General features: G+C 33.7%; 1 protein-coding gene across 1 annotated transcript in view; it reads left to right on the forward strand.

The window, feature by feature from the left end:
* The window catches only part of MSH4 (mutS homolog 4), a 116,361-nt gene that overhangs the window by 70,949 nt on the left and 23,020 nt on the right, over positions 1-22,392 (forward strand). Inside the window, exons 10-16 of the mRNA NM_002440.4 lie at positions 9,106-9,170; positions 10,319-10,488; positions 11,162-11,298; positions 12,220-12,323; positions 13,416-13,540; positions 15,791-15,991; positions 21,421-21,539. Of these exons, the coding sequence (NP_002431.2) occupies positions 9,106-9,170; positions 10,319-10,488; positions 11,162-11,298; positions 12,220-12,323; positions 13,416-13,540; positions 15,791-15,991; positions 21,421-21,539 (921 nt within the window). The remainder of the gene's footprint in view (positions 1-9,105; positions 9,171-10,318; positions 10,489-11,161; positions 11,299-12,219; positions 12,324-13,415; positions 13,541-15,790; positions 15,992-21,420; positions 21,540-22,392) is intronic.

Consider the following 22,392-nt stretch of genomic DNA (forward strand, 5'->3'; position numbering starts at 1 on the left):
CCCAACAAAAAGATGTTCTCTTATATAATCATAATATTATTATCAAATTCAGAATAATTAATACTGATGCAATACTATTTTATAATATGTATCCCATACTCAAATTTTTAAAATTGTTCTAATAATGTTCTTTATAGCATTTTTTTCCTGATATAGGGTCCAATCCAGGATCATATCTTATATTTAATGTCATGTTTTTTAAAACTCCTTTGAAGTGGAGAAGTTTCTCAGCCTTTGTTCATGATACTGACATTTTGAAGCATAAGGGTCAACTTTTTAAGTAGAATTTCCTCAATTTATGTGATTGCTTTCTCCTGATTAAATTCATCTGTGCATATTTGGCCTTAATACTCTATGATGTATCCTTTTTAGTGCATCACATCAAGAGGCACATAATGCCATTTCCTCATTCTTGGTGATATTAACTGATCAATTTCTTCACCATAAATTCAGATTTTCTTTTGTAATTAATAAGTTATTAATCTATGGAGAGTTATTTTGAGAATGTGTAAATAACCCAATCCTCATCAAACTTCCACCCATTGATTGTAGAATTAATTGATGGCTCTTACCTGAAGTAATTATTACTCTGATGGTTACAAGATGATTATTTTCTCATTAACTTTTAAATACTACACTGTGTAAAACTTGTTTTTATTGAAGTGATAAAGGGAACTGCTTTTGAAAAAGAAATAATGAAAAATATGGAATAACTTTGTTATAGAGATTATTCTAATAAATATTAACATGGTTTGGCTGTGTCTCCACCCAAATCTCACCTTAAATTGTAAGAATCCCCACATTTCAAGGGCGGGGACTGGTGGAGATAATTGAATCATGGGGGTGGTTTCTCCCATACTGTTCTTTTGGTAGTGAATAAGTCTCACAAGGTCTGATGGTTTTATAAAGCAGAGTTCCCCTGCACATGTTCTTCTTGCCTACCGGCATGTAAGATGTAACTTTGCTCCTGATTTACCTTCTGCCATGATTGTGAGGCCTCCCCAGCCATGTGGAACTGTGAGTCAATTAAACCTTTTTCCTTTATAAATTTCCCAGTCTTGGGTATGTCTTTATTAGCAGCTGAGAACAGACTGATACAGTAAATTTTACCAGTAGAGTGGGGTGCTGCTGTAAAGGTACCTGAAAATATGGAAGTAACTTTGGAACTGGGTAACAGGCAGAGGCTGGAACAGTTCGGAGGGCTCAGAAGACAGGAAGTTGTAGGAAAGTCTGAAACTTCCTAGAGACTTGCTGAATGGCTTTGACCAAAATGCTGATAGTTATAGGGATAGTAAGGTCCAGGCTGAGGTGGTCTCAGATGGAGATGAGGGATTTTTGGGAACTGGAATAAAGGTCACTCTTGCTATGCAAAGAGACTGGCAGCATTTTCCCCTGCCCTGGAGATCTGTGGAACTTTGAACTTGAGAGAGAGGGTATCCAGGGGGAAGAAATTCCTAAGCAGTGAAGCATTCAAGAGGAAGCAGAGTATAAAAGTTTGGAAAATTTGCAGCCTGAGGATACAGTAGAAAAGAAAATCCCATTTTCTGGGGAGAAATTCAAACCAGCTGAAGAAATTCGCATAAGTAACAAGGAGGCAAAAGTTAATAATCACCAAGACAATGGGGAAAATGTCTCCAGGTCATGTCAGAGACCTTTATGGCAGCCCCTTCCATTACAGGCCCAGAGATCTAGGAGGAAAAAATGGTTTTCTGGCCCCGCTTGCTCTGTGCAGCCTAGGGACTTGGTGCTCTGCGTCGCAGTTGCTCCAGCTATGGCTAAAAGTGGCCAACACACAGCTCGGGCCATGGCTTCAGAGGGTGCAGGCCTCAAGCCTTGGCAGCCTCCATGTGGTGTTGAGCCTGCAGGTGCACAGAAGTCAAGAATAGTTTGGGAGCCTCCACCTAGATTTCAGAGGATGTACGGAAATGCCTGGATGTCCAGGCAGAAGTCTTCTTCAGGGACGGGACCCTCATGGAGAGCCTCTGTTAGGACAGTGCAGAAGGAAAATGGGCAAAAGCCCCCACACAGAGTCCCCACTTGGGCATTGCCTAGTGGATCTGTGAGAAGAGGGCCACTGTCCTCCAGACTCCAGAATGGTAGATCCACCGACAGATTGCACCATGCACCTGGAAAAGCCACAGACACTCAACACCAGCCTTAAAAGCAGCTGCAGGGTTCAGGGGGCTGTACCCTGCAAAGGCACAAGGGTGGAGCTGCTCAAGGCTATGGGAGTTCACTTCTTGCATCAGTGTGACCTGTATGTGAGACATGGAGTCGAAGGAGATCATTTTGGAGCTTTTAGGTTTGACTGTCCCACTGGATTTTGGACTTGCGTGGGGCCTGTAGCCCCTCCATTTTGGCCATTTTCTCCCATTTGGAATGGGTGTATTTACCCAATGCCTGTACCCCAATTGTATCTAGGAAGTAACTAACTTGCTTTCCAGTTTTATAGGCTCATAGGCAGAAGGGACTTGCCTTGTCTCAGATGAGATTTGGACTGTGGACTTTTGAGTTAATGCTGAAATGAGTTAAGACTTTGGGAGACTCTTTGGAAGGAATGATTGGTTTTGAAATGTGAAGACATGAGATTTGGCAGGGGCTAGGGGCAGAATTATATGGTTTGGCTGTTTCCCTACCCAAAACTCACCTTGAGTTGTAATAATCCCCACATGTCAAAGGCAGGGCCAGGTGGAGGTAATTGAATCATAGGGCAGTTTCCCCCATGTTCTCCTGGTAGTGAATAAGTCTCACGAGATCTGATGGTTGTTTAAAGGGGAGTTCCCCTGCACATGTTCTTCTTGCCTGCTGCCATGTAAAACATGACTTTGCTCCTTATTCACCTTCTGCCATGATTGTGAGGCCTCCCCAGCCATGTGGAATTGTGAGTCAATTAAACCTTTTTCCTTTATAAATTACCCAGTCTTGGGTATGTCTTTCTTAGCAGCATGAGAAAGGACTAATACAAATATGTATAGTTAAAGTAATGTGGCAAAAGACTTCAAAAATGTTTTCACCTTTCTTGTAATGAAATAAATGGAATAAATCACCAGAAAAATATTGAGAGATTTCATGAAACACAAATTTTAAACTTTGGTATGTCAAAAGCAAAGTAAAAGGCAAAGGTAGGAAAAATTTATAACAAATGACAGTTTATTAGTCTGTTTTCATACTGCTATAAAGAACTACCAAAGACTGGGAAATTCATAAAGGAAACAGATTTAATTGACTCACAGTTCAGTATGGCTGGGTAGGCCTCAGGAAATGTACAATCATGGCAGAAGGAGAAGGGGAAACAAGGCACCTTTGTTACAAGGCAGCAGGAAAGAGAAGGAATGCAGGAGGAACTATCACACACTTATAAAACGATCAGATCTGATGAGAACTCACTCACCATCATGAGAACAGCATGAGGGAAACTGCCCACATTATTCAATTACCTCCATCTGGTCTCTCCCTGGAAAAGTGAGGATTATGGGAATTCTAGGGATTATAATTTATGATGAGATTTGGGTGGGGAGACAAACCCTAACTGTATCAGACAGACAAAATACTAATTTCTGTCATCATAAAACTCATGTAATTTCATAGGAAAATATTGAAATGCCAATGGAAATATGGAAAATGACCCAAAGAAGGAAATCAAGGTGATTAATAAATGGTACCAAAAATGTTAACCTCATCATTAATCAAAGCAATACCAATTAAAACCATAGTTCTTATCTGTCAAAGAAGCAGACATTTTCATTTATCTTAAAGGATGTAACTCATTTCTAATTAGAGATCTATGAGACAGACAACTTATTAAACAGCTGGTAAAAATACAGATTTCACATACTTTACAAGGAATTGTGCTGGAAATGTTTGCAACATCTATTTTTTGATCCTGTAACACTACTTCTAGAGATTTGTCTGAAAGAACTTTTCAGAAACATTGGCCAATATTTATGTCCAACAATGGTCATTACAGTATTATTTATTTATATCAGTGAGAAATTATAAGTAGAGTAGAACTGCAGTAATTACAGGAAGAGACTATTTGCTTTCCATAGACTGGAATATTATGAATTATTAAACATTTTTGCCTTGAAAAGTTTTTTATATGTATGATATAGTATCAGTTGAGCATCCCTAACCCAAAAGTTAAAAATTTTAGATGCTCCAGATTCTGAAACTTTTTAAGTACCAATGTGATGTCACAAGTGGAAAATTTTACATCTTGACCTTATGTAATGTGTTGCAGTCAAAATGCAGGTAGTCAACACAGTTTATTCAGCATCCTAAAGGGAAAAAAGACCCTCCCAGCTATCTTCATCTGTAATATATCTTTCCTGTGCATTCCCAGATTCTTCTATGCAAACATTCCCACAAAGGGTAACACAATGACACAGCTACAGGTCAGATGTGCCAATGGCAAGTTTCCATGATGCTCCACATAGGGCCAAGACTGATGTGCATTACTGTTTTTTTGCTTATTGCCTGCTTTGTCTAGTGGTTAAGATAACAAAAACAAAAAACAAAACAAAGAAAATGTCAGAAAGGCCTGCAGTAACAGTGATAAGAAAAAGAGGAATCACTTACGTTTATATGTAACACAGAAAGTCAAGCTATTGGAGAAACTGGATAATGGTGTAAGTGTCAAAGGTCTTAAAGAAGCCTGTGCTGTTAGAATGACTGCCAGATATGACCTAAAGAAACAAACGGATAAACTGTTGCAGTTCTATGCTGAAAGTGATGAACAGAAGCTAATGAAAAATAGAAAAACACTGCATAACATTTTAAAAAAAAGAAAGAAAGAATGGATCCATCTGCCTTGCAGTGAACACATGCCACTTAATGGTATACTGATCATGAAACAAGTGAAGATGTTATCACAATGAAATGAAAATTGAAGGGAACTGTCAATATTCAACAGGCTGGTTGCAGAAATTTAAGAAGAAAATAACATTAAATTTTTAAAGATTTATAGTGATTGAGCATCTGCTGATCATGAAGCATTGGAGAAATTCATTGATGAGTTTGCCAAGGTCATTGCTGATGAAAATCTGATGCCAGAACAAATCGATAATGCTGATTAAACATCATTGTTTTGACATTATTGCCTCAGAAAGACACTGACTACAGCTGATGAAGCAGCCCCTGTGGGAATTAAGGATGCCAAGGACAGAAAACAACTATGCTGGGCTGTGCTAGTGCAGCAGACACACGTAAGTGTAAACGTGCTGTGATAGGTAAAACCTTGTGTCTTTGCTGTTTTCAAGGAGTGAATTTCTTACCAGTTTATTATTATGCTAACAAAGAGGCCTGAATCACCAGGGACATTTTTTTTCCAATTGGTCTCACAAACATTTTACACCAGCAGCTCATGCTCACTGCAGGGAATCTGGATTGGATGATGATTGAAATATTTTGTTATTCCTTGACATCTCTTCTGTTAATCCTCCAGCTGCAATTTTCATCAAAAATAATGTTTATGCCATATATTTTCACCTAAATGTGACTTCATTAATTCAGCCATGTGACTGTGACAAGAGTATCCTTAGATCAATGAAGAGTAAATACAAAAACACTTTTTAAAAATTTTTTAATTTTTATTTTAGTTTTGGGGGTACATGTGCATGTTTGTTATGTGGGTAAACTTGTGTCTTGGAGGTTATGTTGTACAGATTATTTCACCACCGAGTTACTAAGCCTAGTACCCAATAGTTATTTTTTCTCCTCCTCTTCCTCCTCCCAACCTCCACCCTCAAGCAAACGCCAGTATCTGTTGTTCCTGTCTTTGTGTCCATGAGTTCTCATCGTTTAACTCCCACTTTTAAGTGAAAACATGGGGTATTTGATTTTCCGTTCCTGTGTTAATTTGCTAAGGATAATGGCCTCCAGCTCCATCCATGTCCCTGCAAAAGACATGATCTTGTTTTTATATATATATATATAACTGCATAGTATTCCATGATGTATATAAACCACATTTTCTTTATCCAATCTGTCACTCACGGGTATTTGGTTGATTCCATGTCTTTGCTATATTGTGAACAGTGCTGCAGTGAACATTCGTGTGCATTTGTCTTTATGGTAAAATGATTTATATTCCTCTGCATATATACCCAGCAATGGGATTGTTGGGTCGAATGGTATCTCTGTTTTCAGCTCTTTGAGGAATTGCCACACTGCTTTCCACAATGGTTGAGCTAATTTACATTCATACACCAACAGTGTATAAATGTTCTTCTTTCTCTACAAGCTCACCAGCATCCGTTGTTTTTTGACTTTTTAATAATAGCCATTCTGACTGGTGTGAGATGGTATCTCATTGTGGCTTTGATTCACATTTCTCTAATGATCAGTGATATTGAGCTTTTTTTTCATATGTTTGTTGTCCACATGTATGTCTTTAGAAAAGTGTCTGTTTTGCTTACTTTTTAATGAAGTTGTTTTATTCTTGTAAATTTAAAAACACTTTCTTGAACAGCGTGCTAGCATCAGTGAACAGAAGCATAGATGTGGAAGTTTTTTTAGAGTTGCAGTCTTGCTCTGTGCCCAGGCTGGAGTACAGTGGCACGATCATTGCACACCGCACCCTTGAACTTCTAGGCTCAAGTAATCCTCCAACCTTTCCTGAGTAGCTGGGAGTACAGGCATATGTCACTATGCCCAGATAATTTTTTAAAATTTTATAGACAGGGGTCTCGCTATGTTACGCAGGCTGGTCTTGAACTCCTGGGCTCAAGCAATCCACCTGCCTCATCCTCCTGAGTCACTGGGATTACAGGTGTGAGTCACCACACCTGACAATGGAAGGTTTTTGAAAGGAGTTTAGTATGAAGAATGCCATATATGCTGTTGCCAGTGCTTGGAACATAGTTACTAAAGACGTGGTTGTGCATGCCTGGCACAACTTCTGGCCTGTGATGCTGTTCAATGATGATGATAAAACAAGGTGGTGACTTTGTAGGATTCCATATGTCAAGTGAGAAAAAATTATGTCTGACATCCTAAAATATGCAAAATGCATACTTTCAGAGTCTGTCAGTAAGCTGGAAGAACTGGGTGTTAAAGTTTGTATTTATTTATTTATTATTTGAGATGGGGTCTCACTCTGTCACCCAGGCTGGAGTGCAGTGGTGCAATCTCAGCTCACTGCAACGTTTGCCTCCCAGGCTCAAGCCATCCTCCCACCTCAGCCTCCTGAGTAGCTGGGACCACAGGCACGCACCACCATGCCCAGCTAATTGTTTGTCTTTTTGATAGAGACGGGGTTTCGCCATGTTGGCCACACTGGTATCGAACTCCTGAGCTCAAGCAATTTGTCCGCCTTAGCCCCTCGAAGTGGTGGGATTACAGGTGTGAGCCATGGCGCCAGGCCAATTGACATTTTTAACATCAATAATGAGGCCCCAGCTGTTCATTAATCAATGGATGATGAAATAGACAAAATGGTTCTGATTCAAGGTGATCATGACAGTAATGACGATGAAGATGATGTTGTAACACTGCAGAAAAAACGCCTACAGATATGGTAAAAATGTGTGATGGGCTTATTGAAGATCTACAGTTTTTGTTAAGCAAAATAAAATTCCTATTTTTACTGTATAAGAATGGAGCAGCACACATTCATAACAGAACAAGAAATCATGTCAATTATAAAATCAAAGAGAAATTTCTATGACAAAAACCATTATTAATGAAGCAGATGACTCTAGAGGAAACATTTCTAAAAGCGGGCCAGCAAAATGCCTCCGTATCCTTAGAATACCCACTTCCTGGTCCCTTAACTGTTTCTGATGTTTCATCTCACTTAGAAAAATAAAATACAGCTTACAGTAACCTCTTAATCAAAATATAGCATTATAGGTGGATACTGGAAATTATTAGTTGTTGCTGTCATTTAAGAGCTGATGCAGGTACTCTGGGGGTGCTACCGTGCTGTTAGCCTGAACACATTTTTTCACTATATTAATGGTATGTCAGGTTTTTTTTTTACTGTTAAGTACTTATGGGTAAATAAGTGTTAAAAAATGATTGCTTATTGGTAGCATATAAATTCAGAGTTGGGAATGATAGTGATGCCAAACAATCACAAATTGTCCACCTAAGTGCCTGAAATAGTGACACCTTTGCTTTCTGGTGTTTCCATGTACATAGACTTCTATGTGCAAAATTATTTAAAGTGTTGTATAAAATTACCTCAGGCTATGTGTATAAGGTGTACATGAAACATAAATGAATTTCATGTTTAGACTCAGGTTTAATCTCCAGGATATCTCATTATGTACATATGCAAATATTCCAAAATCTGAAAAAAATCCAGAATCTGGAACTTCTGATCCCAAGCATTTTGGGTAAGAAATACTCAACCTGGATTAAGTCGGGGTTGGGGAAGGAGCACACAATGATATAAAATTATTTATTTTAGATACTGACAGGAAATATAATATTTAGAATGTTTATCTTTGGACAATAGTAGATTTAATTTTTTTCTTTCAATTTTGGTGAATTTTTTAGTTTTTATCTGTCTGTGCATATTATTTTCTGTTCATAAGCAAAAAAAGTTATCACCATTGCTTCATATCAAATTTAAAAAAGGAGATAATGGCCAGGCTAAATATGCTTTCTCTTCTTCTTTTCTGTTTATTTAGTTAGTGACCCCCTCATAGTTTTCATTAAGCAAAATAAAATCCCTATTTTTACTATATAAGAATTGAGAAATTGCTCTATTTATGAATATACAAAGCACTTTTTTGGTCTAATGTATATCTAACCTAAATTTTGGAATTATATGTAGAGTACTCTAAATGTACAACAGTAGTTGTTTAAGTACCTATATATGTAAGTTGTCGGGTGTTAACAATTAGTAGAGAGGCAAGAAAAATAAAATTTATAATAAGCAGTGGATGGCACTAATTAGCCATGTACTCTTTATTTGGAAAAAGGGAAAGATACAGTCTATCCTCAGCTAGATAGCTACAAATATATTTTATGAGTATATAAATGAGGAAATGAAGAAAGCACTTGGTAAACTATAAAGTATTAAACAACTGTAAAATGATATGTTTGAATGATCTTGTAATTGATTATCCTTAACTTTTTTATTTTATTCTTTAATAGATTGCTATGAAGAACTGTAACACACCTTTATTAAGAGCTTACTATGGTTCCTTGGAAGACAAGAGGTCTTTGTCACTCAACCGTTAATAAAAAATAAGATTATTCTCTTCTTCCTGATCATAACTGATTTTAAAGACTCTAATTGTATTCTATGGAACAATTACTTGAGTTTTGGTTAACAGAATCTTTAACCTATTCATCAAAATTCTAATTGTACATTTCACATTATAAGTAGAATAAATAGGGTAACAACACATTGATTATTTGTGTTAAAGGACAATTAGAATAGCATGAAAACTTGAAATCCAAGCACAATTTTAATATTTCCTTTTAAAGCCATTCTCCATGGAAAGACTTGCAAATAATAAAAATATATTTCTTTATTTTGTTAAATCATGAAGGGTCTAATGTAACAAAAAATAGTAGATATAAATATTGAATACAATCTAAATGCTGTTTAATTTTAACAGTATTAAATTATTAGCAGTAGTTGTGGACTGAAGAACTACTGGTTCAATCCAGACCTTGGTTCTGAACTGAAAAGATTTGTGATACTTAAGAACTATTATTCTATTAATTGAAGATTTATCCCGTGTGAGGCCACACATTGAAGTTAATAATAAAACTGGCTTAATTACAAATAAAATATAGAATGGAATGAAGGAAAAGTTGAGGAAAATATGTGTTACCAGATTTCTGGTTTGCATAATCACTGAACTTTACCACTGGTAATTGTGAGGTTCCTGTTACGCTGTCTACATATGTGTTTAGTGTCTCTTGCCTCTACCGAAGGCAGGGATCATATGTTATTCTTCTCTGAATCTCTTCACCTAGCACAGTGCTTGATACATGGTGTACATTGATGTTTATTGAGTGAATGAGCATGAAGCCACAATTTTTATGACAGTTCTTTAGAGATGTATTTTGTACCCACAGGCACATCAGTATATGTAATTTGTGAGCTCTATTAGCAGATGTAGAATTGTTTTTGGGGTCCTGATGCTGTTTTAGACTAGTCCTGACTGATGAAACAGTTTAAATATGAAATAGTCACAGCTCTAACTTAAGTAAATTTAAATATTTGTTGCTTAATTAGTTATTTCAAAATAACTTTCAACAAAAATTTGCTATCATCAATTGTGATTCAAATTATAAATTAAAATAACTCTTTGACTTATTGCCTATAATGTTTTTCTTTTGGCCTTAATATTAGGTTTGGAATCATACTTGAAAAGATTAAAACAGTAATTAATGATGATGCAAGATACATGAAAGGATGCCTAAACATGAGGACTCAGAAGTGCTATGCAGTGAGGTCTAACATAAATGAATTTCTTGACATAGCAAGAAGAACATACACAGAGATTGTAGATGACATAGCAGGTAATTTCTTTATTTGATAATGTTTTTTGTAGGGATAAAACAGCCTTTTCAGGACATGCTGTCCTTTTTTGCTGCTGATGACTAGCCATACATATTTTAAATTTATTTTTCGTTACCAAAACATAAGGTTAGCATGTAGTGCCATTTAAGGAAACAGCATATGTGGCAGCCTTCATACTAAACTCCTTTTGAAAACCTTCCATTGCCAAGTGCAATAGCTCATGCCTATAATCCCAGCACTTTGGGAGGCCAAGGAGGGCTGATAGCTTGAGTCCAGGAGTTTGAGGCTAGCCTTGGCAACATAGCTAGTCTTTTGTAGAGACAAGACGTTGTCTCTACAAAAACTGAGAAAATTTGCCAGGCATGGTGATGTATGCCTGTAGTCCCAGCTACTCCGGAGGCTGAGGTAGGAGGATCACTTGGATCACTTGAGCCCAGGAGGTCGAGACTGCAGTAAGTTATGATTGTGCCACTGTGCTCAGCCTGGGCGACAGAGTGAGATCTGTCTTGAAAAAAAAAAAAAATTATTAGAGTTTGAAAGAGCAACAAGACCTCCTATTTATGTATAAAATAAGAATTTAAAAACCATGTGACTCTTTAAAACAGAGTGATTTTTCTCATTAAAATTTATTCATTTTGTTTTGTTTTTGTTTTTCTTGTTTCTGGTCACCAGGAATGATATCACAACTTGGAGAAAAATATAGTCTACCTTTAAGGACAAGTTTTAGCTCTGCTCGAGGATTTTTCATCCAGATGACTACAGATTGTATAGCCCTACCTAGTGATCAACTTCCTTCAGAATTTATTAAGGTTCATTTTAGAGTGGTTAGGAAATTAGTGTTTCTGATTTTATAGAATTACATCTACATATTTTTGGGACTTCTTGAGTTTTGCAAGCCAAATTTCTGAATGTTCTGTATCTTCTCCTATTCCTACCCACCCACCTAACTAATGTACTAATCTAAGAGTGATTTAGATGCTTTTGCAGAAATACCAAACTCAGTGTTTTCCACAGTTCTGGGAGCTTGGTGTAAGAAAAAAAGGAAAATGAAGAAAGAACATCCAAAAGCTGTTTATGATAAAAGAAATTAGGAAAATACCACACCATTTGCCTGTTAAAGGTTTAAAAAGTCCTGAAGTAAATAAATCTACTTAACTTTTAAAAATCTAATATTTCCAAACCTTTGTACCACAGGAATAATTTTTCCTATATAGCTCCTTTACAATATACCAGTTTGGGAAAGTCTAACCCACTCTAATCTTTGTTCTATCTGCTTAGGGGGTACTTTTTGATAAGAACAAACCATTTAGCTTTCAGGCTTTTAGAGCTTGAGTACGATTAGAGATTGAGTTGAGGTTCAGATATAGGACAAGGGCTGCGACAGGGGTCAGAGATGGAGTGAGGATCACTGATGTCCATCATGCGTGTTACTTGGTAATAAGATGTAGTGTTTTTAACATTTTAAGACCTATCAGAGTAGTCATCCCAGATGAACTAGGTCAAAATATCCTGCTTTTTAAAAATGAATGTATGGGTTAAAAAATTTGGCTTTATCCTTTGAAGTGATCTACCTCTTACATTTCACAAATATTATTTAGAACTTTCTTTGTGATACCATATCTCAAAGAGTAAAATGATTAACCTAAATACCCATATTTCTGTTGTTTAAAATCTTACATTTCATAGTAGTGTGCATTTATCTTGACATTTGTTTTTTAATCTCCAAGCAGATTTCTAAAGTGAAAAATTCTTACAGCTTTACATCAGCAGATTTAATTAAAATGAATGAAAGATGCCAAGAATCTTTGAGAGAAATCTATCACATGACTTATATGTAAGAGCATTTGAAGTATTTGAATATTGAATTAAATTGGTTTAATTTGAGAAACTGTTACAATTGTATTAGTTTAATTTTTATCTAATTACAGACAATTGTAGAATTATGCATGTTAGCAAAGGAAGTCTGTCTTTGTGATTAGAATCACTGAGCCTCACAGAAGCTTCGGGGAAGATCTAATTGCAAACAAATACTTTTATAATTGATATTTCTGTAATGTGCATTCTACCATGATGTAGAACTTGGCACATCAGGGGCTTACCTGGGCTTCGTTCAGTTTATTATTTTCCTATGGTCTGTAAGTCCTCAGCTTCTTATACCTTGATATTAATAATTCAATAGCAATATCACAATAGTGTCAGTTCTTTTGCTGGTCATGAAATAGTAGCAATACAGCCAGAAAGAAGAAGTAGAAGATTTAGAACACTTATTAGGCTGAAGTAATAAAGAGAAAGGTTGGGCTTTCAAGACAATTTCAAGGCATGTACCACCAACATTTTAATATATAGTAAGTTTTGGGTACATATTTATCTTTGCAAGAGAAAAACTTTTTGCACTATATCACAGTATAACTCTGCCTTATAAAAACTTAAATAATTATATTATTCAGATATTGTGTCTGTGTGCATGTGTGTGAGTGAGAGAACAAGAACGAGAGAGAAAGAAAAAATGGATGAGAGAGAAAATGCATATAGTTTTTGTGTTGAACTTAACATTTGCAAATTCACAAAGTGATTAGCAAATGGGATCTTTCCAAGTATAATGAGGGCTTGATTTGACCTATATCAAATATTCTTAATAATAAAAACTTATTTTATTAATATCATATAAAAGCAGTTATTTCAAAAATGTTATGTTAATACACAAGAAGATAGATTCTTTGCCACTAAGTAGCTGTGATCTTGAGCAAAAACTTCAATTTCCTCATCTCTAAAATGAGACAGATGAACAATAGGCTTTATCTATAGTGTATAACTCAGATGTGAATATTATTTTACTTCAGGCAATGAATTTAATATTATTTTACGATTACAATGTATGTCCCTTTTGAAAAAACATTATTACATGTCTTACCAAACGTGTTTTCAGGATAGTGTGCAAACTGCTTAGTGAGATTTATGAACATATTCATTGCTTATATAAACTATCTGACACTGTGTCAATGCTGGATATGCTACTGTCATTTGCTCATGCCTGCACTCTTTCTGACTATGGTAAGTTGCTTTCTTTGGAATAAACATATTGCATAGTTAAATTTGTATTCGATTCAAACAATTTGATATAATAGTTATGACATTTAAAATTTTTAACTTGAAATAGAGTCTCTTGCCTCTGGTCCTAGACTAAGACACAAAATAAAGAAAGTGAGATTACCCTTAAAATTTTTTTTGAAGTAAAAATTATTCTCTCAGAAATTGGCAAACCAAAAAGAAAAAATTGCAAGAAACTAAAGATTCCCCAAATAAGAAAGACTGTAAGAGCTGTCTCCTTGGTAAAAATGACAGTGATCTAAATTTATAAAGTTCAAATCTGAATACTTATTAGAAGCAGCGTGATAAACGTTAATAGAGAGAAATGCATCTCCAGAGTGAGCATTTTAATCCACTAGCTCTTTAGATGTGAACATACCAAAATTAGGAATTATGTAATTTATTTTTATATCCCAAGTCTATAAAAAGGCCATGAATATAAATGTTAAGTAATTTTCTCATGTTAAATGAATACTTCGAGTTAGTGCTTTGACATTTCTTATCTAACTTACCAGTAATAACCATACTCCAGTATGCAAATTTACTGGACTAGTATGTGATAATTATGGTTGAATAATTGTAGACTTCATTACATTAAAAACATTGAAATTTCTAATGTAAATCAGCAGTAAAATTTCTAAAATGTTATGTTAATTTACTTTTATGGGATGTATCTTAAGATTTTTTCATATTTCTTATGGAAATATTAACTTTTTCTATTGGTATTTTATAGGCCAAAACTTTTCAAACTTTTATATCTCCTTTGCATCAAAACTCTACTTTAGGGGTCAGATATTCCAATGGTAGTTTTGTTTTTAAACTATTAAGAGATTTAGTCTTGCTTCATTTTAGTTTGAGAAGGATCATTCTGAAACTCCATATCTATAAATAATGAATTTTTGAAAATACTTAAAATTTTTTTTCTAACCTCACTTTTATGATGAATGTTTTCAAGTTTATGCATTTTAGATAAAGGTATGGAACATTTTGGTTTTCACATATGCTTTCACCCTCTTCCTCCTCCCCCCACTTCAGGTGGTATCCATAGAGACCTGATCCTTATTTATTTCTATAGATTAGCAGATTATTTGTGTTGATCTTCTCTATTCTCATTCTCTGAAATTTCCTTTTATACAAAATTTCTCCATGGGCTTAGAAAGAATTATTTTTATATTTGATTTTATTCTATAATCATACCTCAACTTATGAGCTAGGTGTTTGAAACCAGCCTGGGCAACATAGCTAGACCTCATTTCTAAAAAAAAAAAAAAAAAAAAAAAAAATCGGTGAGAAGTGGTGGCAGGTGCCTGTACTCCCAGCTTCTTGAAAGGCTGAGGCAGGCAGGAGGATGGCTTGAGCCCAGGAGTTTGAGGCTGCAATAAGCTATGATTTTGCCACCGTATTCCAGCCTGGGTGATAGACCAAGACCCTGTCTCTAATAAATACATAAATAAATGCTAAGCGTACCAAATTTGAAATAATATTAAAGTAGGGAAGTAGTGTTTAAGGTAGAGTAAGTAAATATGCAACTCTGTATTACCAGTAACCAACTATGATTTTTAAAGTACAATCAATGAGTACTTGGTTCTTTTTTATTTTTATTTTTATTTTTTTTTGAGACAGAGACTCACTTTGTCAGCCAGGCTGGAGTGCAGTGGCACAATCTCAGCTCACTGCAGTCTTCACCTCCCAGGCTCAAGAGATCCTCCTATCTCAACCCCACAAGTAGCTGGGACTACAGGCATGAGCCATTACACCTGGCTAATTTTTTTTTTTTTTTTGTAGAGATAGGGTTTGACCATGTTGCCTAGGCTGGTCTTGAACTCCTGAGCTCAAGCAATCAAGCAATCTGCCCTCCTCCGCCTCCCAAATGCTGGGATTACCAGCATGAGCCATCACGCCTGGTCTGCTTGGTTCTTTTTAATCTACAAAAAGCTGAAAATTTTATAAACTATTTTGGAGCTCAGGACAGTGGTAAAGAACTAAATTCTAGAGTTCTCTAGAAGTGAATAAAAGTTGTGATAGTGATTAGAGTGTGTCCATTATAATTTAGAAGAATTTGGGTGGGGATTTGGGATAATATAGTACCTTAATGTTATTATTCCAAATTGACCAGTGTGAAAATCACTAAGATATAGACAATACATACACACTACAAAATCTTTAGACACAAATATATTAATCTTTAAAAACCATTCTATTTTTTTTCTTAAGTTCGACCAGAATTTACTGATACTTTAGCAATCAAACAGGGATGGCATCCTATTCTTGAAAAAATATCTGCGGAAAAACCTATTGCCAACAATACCTATGTTACAGAAGGGAGTAATTTTTTGATCATAACTGGACCAAACATGAGTGGAAAATCCACATATTTAAAACAGATTGCTCTTTGTCAGATTATGGCCCAGATTGGTAAGTTATGGCTTTATTTATAATGACCAGTTTTACACTCTTTTCAGAATGCTTTGTGCCTAATTTTTTTAGGGCCATGTGCCTAATTAACCCAAGAACAGTTTGGAGCAGATTCTGTTACCTAAAAGTATAACAGTGTGTCTGTTGTGTAAACTATAACTTTACTATTTGATATTTATTAAGCTCCATCCAATTTCAATTGCATTGCACTAAAATTTTTTTGGGATACTACAGAATTGGGAACATTCTTACTATAACTATTAAAGTTGCATCAAATATTACTAAATTGAATCATGCAATTATTTCTGGTTCAAAAACAAAGTTTGTTGTGAGAAAAAGTGAAATGAGTAGGTTAAGCTGTTGCCTTTAATAATCCATGTGAGTTTTTTCCAAAATTATTAAATATAATATTGAGCAGAGAAACATTTCCCTTAACTTGAGGGGTACCAATAACTTGGCCATAGCAGTTGATATATTATACATACACATGTGCATACATGCATCTAAATGGCTGTCACTGACCCAACATTGTTACCTATTTCTTAATATGGAGGCCCAGCTTAACTCCTAATTCTGAAAACTGGGTTTCCTTGAGAACTATATGAATCAGAGATGAGATACTTGGCCAAAATGAAGTGGTTCTTAAGCAGGGTTGGTTTTGATCCCTTACCTCCCAACTCCCAGAATTTGGCAATATCTGGAAAAATTTTTGGTTGTCACAGCTGAGGGGAGTGTAGAGTCCAGGAATGCTGTTAAACATCCTACAATGCACAGAACAGCTCTTCCTCTCCACGCTCCCCTGCTTTCCTCACCCCACCATACACACACACATAAGAAAGATTTATTGAGCCCAAGATACTAGTAGTGTCATGGGTGAGAAACCTTGGTCTAATGTAATGAATTGTAAGGAGAACAAAGCAATAATAATATTGGTGATACAGTATAAATTCACCCTTAGTACTGGGACAATCAGAGACAAATGAGTTAATGAAGAGTAAATATTTTATTGATTTTGTAGGTTTATTGGAATTAAAAGGACATTTTAGCTAATTTCCTTCGCCTTATAAGAATACTGTCTGATTCATGTAAGACATAATACTTCGATTTGAATTAGCTATGAGGAGCTAATATATATGTATATATGTATATGTATGTATGTATATATATGTGTATATATATGTGTGTGTGTATGTGTGTATATATATATATGTGTGTGTGTGTGTGTGTGTGTGTGTGTGTATATATATATATATACCAGCCAGGAGGCTTCTGTAATAATCTAGATAAGAAAGGTTGAGAAACTTTTTGATGGAGGTTAAGAGAGCAGAGAAAATACAAACATATACCACTTAATAATATACGCTATGTGTATATATATAGGGTATATATATACCTTCTATATATAATATAAATATATATATTATATACATTATATATATAAAATATGTATATAATACCGTATATATACTACGTAGTATATATAGACTCACACTGGGGGTGTGTGTGTGTGTGTGTGTGTGTATATATATATATATAAAGGTATGTAACATTTTGGTTTTCACATATACTTTCACCCTTTTCCTCCACCTCCCACCTCAGTTGGTATCCTGAGTGTGTATATACATATATATATATATATGTATATATACACACACACACACAAACACTGGGTACATATATATATACATATAACCTTCACATTTATTTCACATTTATATAATGAAGGTAATATATATGTATATGTAAAGTATTATATGTATTATATGTATATGTATTATATATTACATATGTATTATATATAATATATATTATATATTATTATATATTATATATTATATATTATTATTTATATAATGTATTATATATTATATAGTATATATAGTATATATAATGTATTATATATTATATAGTATATATAGTATATATAATGTATTATATATAGTATATATAATGTATTATATAGTATATATACTATATAATGTATTACATATTATGTATAGTATATGTAATGTATTATATATTATATAGTATATGTAATGTATTATATGTATTATATAGTATATATTATATATGATGTATTATTTAGTATATATAATATATATGATGTATTATATAACATATATAATATATATGATGTATTATATAGCATGTATAGTATATATGATGTATTATATAGCATGTATAGTATATATGATGTATTATATATAGCATGTATAGTATATATGATGTATTATATATAGCATGTATAGTATATATGATGTATTATATATAGCATGTATAGTATATATGATGTATTATATATAGCATGTATAGTATATATGATGTATTATATATAGCATGTATAGTATATATGATGTATTATATATAGCATGTATAGTATATATGATGTATTATATATAGCATGTATAGTATATATGATGTATTATATATAGCATGTATAGTATATATGATGTATTATATATAGCATGTATAGTATATATGATGTATTATATATAGCATGTATAGTATATATGATGTATTATATATTATATATGGTATATATGATGTATTATATATTATATATGGTATATATGATGTATTATATATTATATATGGTATATATGATGTATTATATATTATATATAATATATATGATGTATTATATATTATATATAATATATATGATGTATTATATATGATGTATTATATATAATATATATGATGTATTATATATATTATTATCTATTATATACGATGTATTATATGCAAGTTATTATGTATAATATATAATGTATTATATATTATATAATGTATAATATATAAATATATAAATATATAATTATGTATAAATATAGAAATATATACATTATACATTATATACATTATAATGTATAATATATAAATATATTATATATAAATGTATACATTATATATAAATATATTATATACATTATATATAAAATATGTATATAGTTATTATACCTTATATATACTAAACAGTATATATATATACTCACACTGGTACATATATATATATATTATATATATATATATATTACCTTCACATTTATTTCACATTTATTCTCCTAGAAACTCCATAAGAAAGTTGTATTTGAAATCTAAGTTCTGCTCTCTGAGGGCAGGACCCATGTCTGTTTATTTACCCTAACACATAGAAGGGCTTCAATAAATAGGTATTGAATTTCTATAAAATGAGGAAAGTCAGGCTCAAAGACTTGCCCAAGATCACCCAGTATAAATCCTTTACCTTAGTCTTCCCCACTTGCCCCATTATGCCGTTTGACTCTGTGTCTCCACCCAAATCTCACCTTGAATTGTAATCCCACGTGTCAAGGGAGGGACCTGGTCGGAGGTGATTAGATCATGGGGGGCGGTTTCCCCAATGTTGTTCTTGTGATAGTGAATTCTCACAAGATCTGATGGTTTAAAAGTGTTTGGCAGTTCCCACCTTGCTCTCTCCCTCTCCTGCTCGCATATGAGGACGGTCCTTGCTTTCTATTTGCCTTCCGTCATGATTGTAAGTTTCCTGAAGCCTCCCCAGCCATGCAGAATTGTGAGTTAATTAAACCTCTTTTGTTTATAAATTACTCAGTCTCAGGGATTTTATAGCAGGGTGAAGCAGCAGACTAATACACCCCAGTAGCTAATATTGAGTGTTCACTATGCCCATCACTGCTGTATATACCTTGCATGATAATACGCATTTCACGTTTATCTGCCTGGAAACTGGAAGTGTTATCTGGTTAACACTCATAAAAATATGATAAAGATTATTAACTCCATGTTATAGATGAGTAAGTCAAAGTATTGAGAAGGAATTTGTCCAAGATTATATAGTTTGTAAGAGGCAGCACAAGGATTCAAACCCATGCAGCCTGACAAATAATCTTTGCCCTAAATTAGCAAATTGTCCCCACCCTTCTCCAGAATCTTAAGAAGGTAGCAGGTCATTCCTGTTTTCTTGGAAATGGACAGTTTGTTTATGTTTTTGTTTTTGTTTTTAGCCAGAAAGTTCTGATTCAAATTCTGGCTCTATCACTTCATTATTTATTTTCAGCAAACATTTATCATGAGATTATGTGTCAGAAGCCACTCTAGGTTCATAATTCATCCTTTTAGGAAAACAAGCAAAAAAATAGAGTAGAATGGGGGAGATACATCTTTCTAGTTTTTATAATTTATTGGGTTATTTTGAAAATTAGGAAGAGTGGATATAAAATATCTAGTATGTCGAATGGTATAGGTGCCGTTATTATAATTACTACTGTTATGATTATTACTTTTATTTTCATTAATATTAATCTGACTTTTGGTTTCTTTTCTTGCTACTCCTTATTCCTCAGAGTTAAGCCCTATTCTTTACCCTTTTTTTGTTTTTAATCTTGGAGTAATCTGGCTTTGGTTTTTTTGCTGCTATTATTTCACCATTTTACCTATACAGAATTCTGTATATGTGGTACGTTTCCCTTTCAACTATTTGTATATTTTATCTTCTTATAATGTTAGAATGCATTTTAGATTTTATTCTATATTGAGACTGGTGCATTAATCAGATTGATTTGTTTTCAAAAAACGAATATTTTAGATGAGTTAGCACAATAACTTCTTGGGCAGAAACAGTCTTGTGGGTGAAAATTCACCTTTTTTTTCTTTTTATTAAATGTTTTGCTTTTATTTTGCTTCTGAATGTTTCTCCATGTTTGTAATCACAGATATTTCTTTATATCTTTTTATAATGATTTTATTAACTTCAGCTTTATAGGCATTTTCTTCAGATTTTCATATTTCTTTTTTTAATTTATTTTATTTTTGACATAATAATTGCACGCATTTAAGAGATACATAGTGATGTTTGAATACATACCATGTATAATGATTAGATCAGTGTAACTGGCATATTATATTCATAAGCTTTATAAGCATTCCCTTCATATTTTAATATTTTGAATGTTATCATTCAAGTAAGTTATTTAAAATTTTTATTGTGTTTATAACTGTCTGTTTGTTATGTACTTGAACATTTACTGCCTTATTTGAACTTCTGGATAACTTTGTACAGTAGGTAGGGCAACTTTTTTTTTTTTTTTTTTTGAGACGGAGTCTCATTCTGTCGCCCAGGCTGGAATGCAGTGGCGCGATCTCGGCTCACTGCAGGCTCCGCCTCCCGGGTTCACGCCATTCTCCTGCCTCAGCCTCCCGAGTAGTTGGGACCACAGTTTCCCCGCAACACGCCCGGCTAGGACTGGGAAAGTTTAAGTGCTGTCTAAGCTTTTATAATAAGGGATAGAACTGGGGTCATGTCTTCTAATGCCATATCTAGTGTTCTTTCTACCATATAATCCTTGTAAATAATCTGAGAAGTACAAAATGTTATTAGTAATTATATTTTATAAACACATTTCAGTTTATCTTGACCTTATATTTTACAGGATCATATGTTCCAGCAGAATATTCTTCCTTTAGAATTGCTAAACAGATTTTTACAAGAATTAGTACTGATGATGATATCGAAACAAATTCATCAACATTTATGAAAGAAATGAAAGAGGTACCCAAACAAAACTTTTCTTATGTTAAAAACATTAAATTCTCTCACTAATGGCCAGTTATCACATAAAATATTTTTATACTAAAATATGCAGATGTTGCTTATACCCTTTTCTAAGAGCCAGAGGGCAGTCAAAGACAGCCTCCTAATTTCTGTTTTATGTGGAAATGGAAGACAATGTTTAAGTGAAAATATAATTTTAAGAGAAAGAGCTAGCATTATTAAGTAATAAAAGTGTGCCTAAATGTTTTTATAGGAAATACGTAAAAGACTTCAGAAAATGATAACTGGTTCAGTACCATTTTGCATAGTATTTATTGTTCTTCATAGGCTTGATTTTAAAACAAAAGATTACTGTGTTAGAAGGGTTTCAAAAATCATCCTCTTCTTTGTTCTCATAGAATTTTCACTCCCTGTACCAAAGTATCACCTATTTCTGATTGAGCAAACGTCAAGTAGGCTTTAGAACTGAAGGAATTAAGTGTAACTCTTGGGATATCTGTATTATGAATTTAGGATCACTGTTTAGTTGGAAAATTTTCTTCAAGTAGATAGGTGGTGACTAAAGTTATCATTTGTCCCATGATTTATATAATTATTTATTGTGTATTGAATATCTATAATAGATCGTAGCAATATATTAGGCACTTAAGGTATATTTTTAAATGGTCCTAGCACTCAAAAAGCTTAGTCTCATAGAAAGGTAAAATGTCCATCAAAGTTACTATTGTGTCATAATATAATAAAGATAAAATTCTATTTTTGAGAAAGAGGTTAATAATCTTCAGTGGAAAAGAGCACTTCTGTCAATTTAAGTCTTAGTCTCCATTGGTCATGGATTTAAATTTATTTG

Source organism: Homo sapiens, chromosome 1, assembly GCF_000001405.40.
Source record: "Homo sapiens chromosome 1, GRCh38.p14 Primary Assembly".
NCBI classification, from domain to species: domain Eukaryota; kingdom Metazoa; phylum Chordata; class Mammalia; order Primates; family Hominidae; genus Homo; species Homo sapiens.